Source organism: Homo sapiens, chromosome 11 (genome assembly GCF_000001405.40).
Source record: "Homo sapiens chromosome 11, GRCh38.p14 Primary Assembly".
NCBI classification, from domain to species: Eukaryota; Metazoa; Chordata; class Mammalia; order Primates; family Hominidae; genus Homo; species Homo sapiens.
In genome coordinates, this window is record NC_000011.10 from 115,625,125 (window position 1) to 115,635,059 (window position 9,935).

The 9,935-nt window shown below is 47.8% G+C and overlaps 1 non-coding gene across 1 annotated transcript, besides 2 other annotated features; it reads right to left on the minus strand.

The window, feature by feature from the left end:
* Positions 1-1,957: 1,957 nt before the first annotated feature.
* On the minus strand, positions 1,958-2,061 carry LOC124902826 (small nucleolar RNA U13). Its single transcript, XR_007063011.1, has one exon. It is a non-coding gene; the product is annotated as a small nucleolar RNA U13 (small nucleolar RNA).
* Positions 8,445-8,990: an enhancer, noted in NCBI's record as "H3K27ac-H3K4me1 hESC enhancer chr11:115504287-115504832 (GRCh37/hg19 assembly coordinates)". NCBI's record gives its function as "activates a minimal SCP1, AML or CMV promoter by ChIP-STARR-seq in naive H9 embryonic stem cells {active_cell/tissue: H9 hESC(naive)}" and the evidence as "EXISTENCE:reporter gene assay evidence [ECO:0000049][PMID:30033119]".
* Positions 8,991-9,536: an enhancer, noted in NCBI's record as "H3K27ac-H3K4me1 hESC enhancer chr11:115504833-115505378 (GRCh37/hg19 assembly coordinates)". NCBI's record gives its function as "activates a minimal SCP1, AML or CMV promoter by ChIP-STARR-seq in naive H9 embryonic stem cells {active_cell/tissue: H9 hESC(naive)}" and the evidence as "EXISTENCE:reporter gene assay evidence [ECO:0000049][PMID:30033119]".

Below are 9,935 nucleotides of genomic sequence, written 5' to 3' on the forward strand. Positions count from 1 at the left end.
GCATATCTAAAGCCATTTTGACGTTGCAGAGATACAGTAATACTTTTATGCTTTGTTTAAAGAAATTGTTTGCAGCATATTTGTAGTGAAATCAGTCCAAAGAGTTTATTTGGGATGATTGATTTATAGGAATCCAGCTCCCATACCCAGAGGATGACACTTAAATCATATCTTCTTTTCATTTATAATAAGGAACAAAATGATCATATTTTGACAAGTCTGATCATTTTGGGGGTTGAGCAGGTTCCCTCAGTGGGCTCAGTCTATAGCTCACAGAACTGATAGAATATTATTATGTCTCATTAAAATCAGCTGCAGCTGCTTCAGATGGCGGCCCCAAAGAAAACAAAGCTGCTGGCAGTTTATCCTAGAGTAGTCAGTCTACCTACTGATTTTTAAGAAGGGGACAAGTGGAAATCTTTTCAGTTGTGCTTGCCAAAGCCCATCTTCCCTGGGTTTGAACTTAGAACATCTCCTTAAAACAGACCGGCCCCACCTAGGGCTGACATCACAAGTCTTTCTGTGTCCTCTCTCCCCGCTTGATGCTACAATGCTGCTGCAGCCTCTGGCCTTCTGACCCCACAGAGGCTGTATCCCATTTCTAGGACTAATGGGAATCTAAACTGCCCAGGCTTAATGGGGAGGGTGACATTTGCTGTTTTGGCACCTGCCTCCTCACTAAACCAAACAAGCCGGTTTTGTAGTTCTCATTTGTTTCCAGATTCACAGCCGGGGCAAAAGCCGCCTGTGTCACATCCCCAGAATCTGTGCTGTTATTTCCATATTTGTGTTCAGCTCCTGAGGCTGGGCTTTGGGTCATGCTGAGCAAAGTCTGCCTTCTGCCCTGTCTGAAAGTCCCCTTTCGCTCCCCTGCGAATGACGGCAGGACTCCTCTGCTGGTCTCCCCATCAGACTGGGGCCCGGCCCTGTACCGCTCCCACTTCTTGAGAAGTGAGCTCAGTCTGTGACAGCCACACAGTGAAAAGACCGGAAAAGTTCTCCCGGAACAAAACCTCACCAAGTTCTCGGGGTCCATGGCAGTCTGCGTAAGAGTAGTACAGTGAAAGAGCTTCCTTCTCTCATCTCCCTCTTTCATCTTCCCTAATCCCCTCCCCTCAACTTATCTTTTTTTTCTCTCTGCCTCCAGCCCCCCTCCTCTTTCTATTCACTATCAAGAACAGCCAATTTAGCGGGCAGCCATACAGTTCCAGCAGAAGGCCCTGGGATCAGTGGCTATGGGGAATGGCACAGCCAGAAGGAGAAATCAAAGATGAAATGAGCATTTGGATCTTGCTTAAACTGAAGTTTAGCACCCTCTATGCATTATTCATGTGTGACATCGTCACCCTCTTCTCTACACTCTCCACTGAGCTACAAGAGAGCCCTGAATCCTCATGGCTTTGAAATAATTTGCACAATGACACTGATCTATCTTCAACCCTGCAAACGCCCCATAGAGGGCCAAGTTTTGGTCTGGCTCAGGTACAGGTGCAGGTCAGGTCAGCATGAAACCACAATCATACCCTTTTGGCAAGACACTTCAAGGAAGTGGGTAATGATTCACATTTGGTGTTTAGCTTTTGATACCTGTACCAAATGGTCAAAACCCTAAGCAAGCAACTGGTCTTGATTGGATTGTTTAAAAATATGAATTATTGACCTTGGGCAAGTCATTAGATTTCCCTGAGCTTTGATGTTCCGTCTCCAAAACTTGGAGTCCATGATGACTTCCTTACAGGGATGCTGTGAGGACTGAATTAGTTAATACGTATATGTGGACATGCTTTGTAAACTATAAAATACTGAATGAGTATAAAAGCAATTTAAAAAGGCCGAAGTGTATCAGGCATTCACGATGTGCTTGGTATTATGCAATTGGCACTTACTTGCTCATTTAATCTTCACAGAAATCCCCATGAGGTTGATACTATTATTCCCCCTCCTTTTTTTTTTTTCATGTCAGGCGGGTAATGTGCTGACGTTGTAACAAGGTTTGAAGGAGGCACATCTCACACATGTGCCTGAACACCCAATCATCTCGCTTATGAACTACAAAAGGACCTCCCCTTTCTTAAGATGAGGAAATTCAGGACACTCAGAGAGGTGGTTAAGGGAAGTCCAGAGCTGAGATTCTAGTCTAGGCTGTCTCTTCCCTCCCACTTTGCAGGTACCCATTCCAGACTGAGGAGCAGGTAAGTCTCCTGGCTTTATGCAGAAACACAAATATTGATTTACCAACAAGTCAAATATTTTCCCCTCCTTGGAATGCTCCTAAGCTGGAGGCACTTGGACATCTTGGGCCTCTGCTACTTCATTTACACTGGTTTTCCATTGACCTGAATGGGTGGGCCAGTGACTATTTGCAAGGTTGGTTGGGAAGGGTTGGCTCTCAGCTTGGGATTCCTAGAACAGGTGCACTTGGGGGCCTCCTCTTGGCCTCCACCTCTGCGGATCCCAGGGCCAATCTTTTGTCTCAACCCATTTTCTCAGGAACTCATCTAAGAGAGCTACCCCCTGGCGGGAGTAAGCTACCATCTCCAAGGGCCAGCACAGAACTTTGGGAGTGCCAATTGTGGAGAGAAGGGGGTGTTAGGAGAGATCGTCCCAGAGGATTACAGTGACAGGACACTTAGCCCTCCTCACAGGCACGAGTTTGGAATAATTACCCAGGGCAGACTCTCTGAAAGAGGAGGTAAGCTGGCTAAGGCTCTTAGAAGGCAGGCCTGATGACATTGTTATGTATCAGTCCAAGGCTCAGGACGCGGCGGGGTCAGGTATTAGCTGATTATCTGATTCTGTCAGCAGAGAGCTTTCAGTGAGTCCACAGAGCCAGCCCCCAGATTTCCGCACAGAAACGCTAAGCTTAGACACCTGCAAAGGAGTCCTCGTGTGAAGTTCTGCCCCTGGAAGGTGTCCTGGGTACTTACAGTATCAGCACTGGAGGCAGATCCTGCAGCTCCGAAACACCCTCCAAGCTTCACGTTGCCACACGGTTCTGGGAGATGAGGCCATGGCAATCTGTGGCTTCCCTTGCTCCTGAACTTGAGCCTCTGATTCCCTCTCCTGTTGGAGGCTTTAACACGGTCAGTCTACAGACACCAGTTTTGGCTGTTGAAAAGCTTTCCACCTCCAACCCTGCTGGGGGTGGAAGAGAAGGACAGAAGGGGAGTGAGGAAGAGCCACTTCTGTGACAGAAATCAAAGCCAAGGCAGGCAGACATGTAGGTGGACTTGAGCGGCAATTAATTCTTTTCAATCAGGAGAGAGGCCCAAATGACAAGAGGAGGCACTAAATTTAGACATAAAGAAGAACTTACTTGGTTTTGAAGGTTAGCCAGGATACCTCTAATAATTGTGTTATAATAAATATAATTTTATTATTTACTATATTTACTGTTCTATCAACTTTTCTTTTTCTCTTCTTTTCTTTTTTCTTTTTGAGACAGAGTCTGACTGTGTCACCCAGGCTGGAGTGCAGTGGCGTGATCTCGGCTTACTACAACCTCTGCCTCCTGGGTTCAAGCAATTCTCCTGCCTCAGCCTCCAGAGTAGCTGGGATTACAGGTAAGTACCACCATGCCTGGCTAATTTTTGTATTTTTAGTAGAGACAAGGGTTCACCATGTTGGCCAGGCTGGTCTCGAACTCCTGACCTCAGATGACCTGCTCACCTTGACCTCCCAATGAACTTTTTAATATTGTGTCACTTAATCCTTCCAACTACCCTATGAGAGAGGTATGATCATTAGATTTCTATTTTACATCTGAGAAAGCTGAGGTCCAGGTAATTTTTTTTTTTTTTTTTTTGAGATGAAGTCTTGCTCTGTTGCCCAGGCTGGAGTGCAATGGTGCAATCTCAGCTCACAACAGCCTCTGCCTCCCGTGTTCAAGCAATTCTTCTACCTCAGCTTCCCAAGTAGCTGGGGTTACAGGCATGTGCCACCATGCCTGGCTAATTTTTTTTTTTTTTTTTTTTTTTGTATTTTTAGTAGAGACGGGGTTTTGCCATGTTGCCCAGGCTGGTCTCAAACTCCTGACCTCAAGTGATCCACCCACCTTGGCCTCCCAAAGTGGTGGGATTACAGGTGTGAGCCACTGTGTCCAGCCAGGTCCAAATAATTGAAATAACTCATCTAAAGTCAGCAATTTGAAAGAGACAGAATCAGAATGTAGACCCAGGCAATCCGATGCCACAGTGCAGGCTCCCAGCTACTGTTTTCCAGGTGCCTCCATAGAAAGAATGGAGAAATGCTGGGGAGAGCTCCATCTGGCCTAGTTGGGTACACACCCGGGAGACAGAGGACTTCATGGAGGGCATTCAGGCTGTGGGGATCTGTGAATGTGGCATTGTCACTGATGTGGCTCCTTCCTTTTTTCCCTTCCCACCCAATTTCTCCATGTAGCACCCCTCCCACAAGCTAGCAGGAGGGTGGAAGTGAGGATGAAGGATCCTTGTGGAAGCTGAGTCCAGCCCAGGATGCCTCTGCCCACTTCTGCTCTGCTCTTAGCACAGGTGCCTGGCTCCCACCTGTTGAGTTACAGGCCACTGACTTCCAAGTCAGGCCAGGAGGTCAGTCATCTTTTCCACCGATCCTCTGCCCTGAGCTGAGTTATCTCGCACAAGTGGTACCCACTGGACCCCGTAGCTCTGGCCCTGCTGGAACTCCCTCGCAGCTTAGCAGGGGTTTTAAATCTGGCCCATGAGGCCTTGTCAGTTTCAAGAGCCCCCCCTGACCTTTTAATAAACATTTCCTTTGTTATCAGAATTATTTCCTAATTCATTCCCTTCTGTCCCTGAAAATCTAAATCCTATTTAAGTTAATGCCCTTCATTTTCATTTATAAAGACAGATACAAAATAATTATTTCCTATCTCCGTGGTTTCCTTATCTCCCGTCCTAATAATGCCTTCAGCAGATGAACATTCCCTGTCAGTTGAAACAGTTGGAGTGTTTGTTTTTTTCACTCTTTAAAGAAGAAAAATAAAATGCTTTCTCAGGCTTTGTCTCTTCTCTTCTCCTCTCTCCTCTTTTCTCTTTCTGCCTTTCTCGGCTCTTTTCTTCTCACTATCTGCTTTTCTCCCGGGCGCCCCCTCTCCCTCTTCTGACCCCCACAGTGACCCTTTCTCTCCCTCTCCTGCACCCTCTCCTGCTGTCCTGGCCCTTGCCCAGCCCAGTGTTGCTGGGCGCCTCTCATTTTCCTGTCCGTAGTGCAATTTCTCTGCGGCCTCACATCTGAATTTCATCAGCCCATGAGCCTGCCTTTGAGCTCAGGTCCCCCCAGCTAGTAAAACTGGTTTGGATGAGCAGACGCAGTCTCGAAAAGAAACATTCTTTGGTTTCCTCTCATGACAACTAGTGAGCAGAGAATTCACAGTTCCCTTCTCCGGGCGCCTCTTTGAAGTGTTTGATTGAAAGGAGAGGGGATGGAAAGGAATGGGGTGATGGGGGTTGGTAGTGGCGGGAACAAGGATTCCAGCTTTAACTAGCAACTCTGAAACCAGCGACCCAGACTTCCGGCGACCCTCTCTGTTCCTTGCCCATCTGGGTAGGGGAGATGCTGACTGATTTTTGGCTATCTGCACCAGATCCAGTCTTCCACCCTCCTCTCTTTTGTTTTCCAGTAAAACTCAACACACAATTTAAATCCAGGGTTTGGGAGAAAGTCATTAATAGAGTAGCTGATTTTAAGGGAACTGGTTCTGTTCTCAGAAAGCAGTTGTTCAAATCCTAACCATTAGCACATGCTGAATGCCTTCTATATGCCAGCTATGTAAATGATTTCATTTACTTCTCATGAGGACCCTGTGACCTAGCAGCTACTGTTTCCCCATTGTATGGATGAGGAAACTGAGGCTCAGAAAGACTGGGAAACTTGCTCACAGCCCTCGACCAGCAGAGGTACAACCAGGCCTCGAATCCAGGTTTTGCTTCATATCCCTCACTCTCTGACATACAGGCCTTCAAGAGAAAGGATTTCTGTCACTCCTCTGGCTTTAAAGTCTTTGTCAAGGCCAAGAAGGAACTATGAAGAACTCTTCTGTGACGGTATCTAACAGGTGGTCTCTGAGCTCTTTTATCTTTGGTAGAGAATGCAGATTACTAGGCACAAAGATTTAAAAAAACCCACGAGAGAAAAATGTTTGAAAGCATGGTGCTACAGAGAGGTCAAGGACTAATGGATGGGGAACGGAATGTACCTACATCAAGTCCCTTCATTTTATAGTCAGGGAAACTGAGGCCTAGCAAGAGCTGGGTCTCACTCCTGCCTTCACTTAGCTCAGCAGCTAAGACTTGCTGAACCCACAAAGAGCTTTCCTTCATCATCTGGAGGGAGATACGGAAGCCACCTAGGGGTTACCCCAGAGAGGCCAGGAGACTTAGAGTAAAGAAGGAGCGTAGGATGGCCAGCAATGGCCAGAGGCTTCAGGATAAATGAGCAGTCATGAGGTAACACTTCTAGACTCCTAAACTCTGAAAGGGTAAGAGTCCCCATGGCCACAAGTCCTAAAAGAGGTACCCATTTTTGGTCAGTGGATAGGGCTGGTTAGCGAGTGCCACCTTTCTTTTGGCTCCCTGGCCTGGGGTACCTGATCAGGCCTTGGGGAGCAGGTGACCTGGTTGCTCATATCACTTGGGCTCAGTGACATGCACAGGACCTTGCAAATACGATCAATGCAACGTTTGTGCAGCTCAGGCTGGAGGGCAGGAAGGATAATGTCAGCAAGGAGGTTCTCATAGCTGGAGACTATTTGCAAAACAGTGTAAATCAAACAACTCTTTCATAAGAGTGGGACACGGGGACCCAAAACCTTGGCAGTTGAAAGAACATCTCCCAGTTTGATGTTTGAAAGGTGATAAGAAGCCTTCCTGTCTCCTTGTCATCCTGTGATGCCACCATTAGAACCATTTTCTTGATTCTAGGAAGCACCTCTAAAAATACATATATGTAACTATTAATAGTATAGAAAAGCATGCTAAGCCATGGGTGTAACTGGTTTGATGTGGAGCCATGAAGGACTGGGGCTCCAGGGCAAGTATGGTTTGGTAGGTGTGTGAGTTGCTAGCCACGGGGCAGAGGGTGGATTTTGAAATTATCTGAGTATAAGTTCGTTCCTTCAGTGGGGAATCAGGACCTTGGAGAAGGAGAGGAATGGGAGAGGGCTTGGGGAAGGGAGAAGCAATCCTACAGTGTGTCTTCTGCACACAAAGGAGGCATGGCTAATCTCACATTGTTTATGACCACTGCTCTGGAGTGAAGGGAGATGTTGCATAGTGCAGAGAAAAGCAAAAATGATCTGGGAATGACCAGAGCTGGGTTCTGGTGCCACAGCTGTTTCTCAGAGCTTGAGTTTCTGGTCCCATAGAAAGAGGGTGTATAGTTATCAGAATTTTCCAAACCTCAATTTATTCACACACTATTTTCATAAGTTTCATCAGAGCTTCAAATATATATTTTTTCAATTGGCTTTTTTTTTTTTTTTTTTTTTTTTTGTGAGATGGAGTTTCACTCTTGTTGCCCAGGCTGGAGTGTAGTGGCATGATCTTGGCTCACTACAACCTCCATCTCCCGAATTCAAGCAATTCTCCTGCCTCAGCCTCCCAAGTAGCTGAGATTACAGGTGTGCACCACCACACACCCAGATAATTTTGTATTTTTAGGAGAGATGGTGCTTCACCATGTTGGTCAGGCTGGTCTCGAACTCCTGACCCCAAGTGATCCACCTGCCTTGGCCTCCCAAAGTGCTGGGATTACAGGTGTGAGTCACCATGCCCGGCCTCAATTGGTTGACTTTTAAAATTTGTCCTCATTCTGAACATACTAATGGGTTTGCTGTGGAAGTCATACTGTGTCCGGAATTGGTGGGTTCTTGGTCTCATTGACTTCAAGAATGAAGCCGCGGACCCTTGCGGTAAGTGTTACAGTTCTTAAAGGCAGCGTGTCCAGAGTTTGTTCCTTCTGATGTTTGGATGTGTTCGAAGTTTCTTCCTTCTGGTGGGTTCGTGGTCTCGCTGGCTCAGGAGTGAAGCTGCAGACCTTCGCGGTGAGTGTCACAGCTCATAAAGGCAGTGTGGACCCAAAGAGTGAGCAGCAGCAAGATTTATTGCAAAGAGAGAAAGAACAAAGCTTCCACAGTGTGGAAGGGGACCCAAGTGGGTTGGCACTGCTGGCTCAGGCAACCTGCTTTTATTCTCTTATCTGGCCCTACCCACATCCTGCTGATTGGTAGAGCCAAGTGGTCTGTTTTGACAGGGCACTGATTGGTGCGTTTACAATCCCTGAGCTAGACACAAAGGTTCTCCACCTCCCCACCAGATTAGCTAGATACAGAGTGTGGACACAAAGGTTCTCCAAGTCCCCACCAGAGTAGCTAGATACAGAGTGTCAATTGGTGCATTCACAAACCCTGAGCTAGACACAGGGTGCTGATTGGTGTGTTTACAAACCTCGAGCTACATACAGAGTGCCGATTGGTGTGTTTACAATCCCTTAGCTAGACATAAAAGTTCTCCATGTCCCCACCAGAGTAGCTAGATACAGAGTGTGGATTGGTGCATTCACAAACCCTGAGCTAGACACAGGGTGCTGATTGGTGTGTTTACAAACCTTGAGTTAGAGACAGAGTGCTGATTGGTGTATTTACAATCCCTTAGCTAGACATAAACGTTCTCCAAGTTCCCACTAGACTCAGGAGCCCAGCTGGCTTCACCCAGTGGATCTCGCACTGGGGCTGCAGGTGGAGCTGCCTGCCAGTCCTGCGCCCTGCGCCCACACTCCTCAGCCCTTGTGTGGTCGATGGGACTGGGCGCGTGGAGCAGGGGACGGCGCTCGTCAGGGAGGCTCGGTCTGCACAGGAGCCCACAGAGGGTGGGGGGAGGCTCAGGCATGGCGGGCTGCAGGTCCCGAGCCCTGCCCCACGGGAAGGCAGCTAAGGCCCGGCGAGAAATCCAGCGCAGCGCCTGTGGGCCGGCACTGCTGGGCGACCCAGCCCACCCTCCGCAGCCGCTGGCCCGGGTCCTAAGCTCCTCATTGCCCGGGGCCGGCAGGGCTGACCGGCTGCTCCGAGTGCAGGGCCTGTGAAGCCCAAGCCCACCCGGAACTCCAGATGGCCCGCAAGCGCTGTGCGCAGTTCCGGTTCCCGCTCGCGCGTCTCCCTCCACACCTCCCTGCAAGCTGAGGGAGCCAGCTCCAGCCTTGACCAGCCCAGAAAGGGGCTCCCACAGTGAGCGGCGGGCTGAAGGGCTCCTCAAGTGCCGCCAAAGTGGGAGCCCAGGCAGAAGAGGCGCCGAGAGCGAGCGAGGGCGCACGCCGTCACCTCTCAATACTTTCTCTAACGTATATTGAAACAAACTATTAAGTTCATTTAAGGCCCATCTGTGGGCCACCTAAAATTCCCTTTTGTGTTACCCATTCAGGAACTCTGGGCCAGGTGAGCGTGGTCCACTCCTCCCCCATTTCTGTGACTCTATGGTGTTTTACACAAGGGAATACCTTCCTTTTCCTTTCTAAATGGAGGACGGGATTTGCAGAAGCTCTGAGTCCCTACTGGGAAAGAGAAAAAGATCTGCATGTTTCACGGATGCTGAAGCCAGATTCTGAGAGGAATGACAAAGTCATTGCTAATTGCAGCCAATTACTCTATCGGGTGGTACTGGTAGGGAAAATGACTTTAAGTCTAGAGTTGCCTTGGAAAGAATTACCATACTGGTAAGTAATTTTGACTCGAGTAATTTTTAACGCTAAAATTTGCTACAAGTACTTTGAGAATTAAAAAAAAAAGAAGGCCATGCCTTCATTAGAGCATAATAAGGCAGTTTTGTAATTAATAAGCTAAGCTACTAGTCACACCTGTAATTTGGGGTATGAAGATAAACGTTCACTATGTATTCTTTGTTTCTCCTTTTTCTGAAGAGTGGAATTATTTTCTTTCAGTTTCC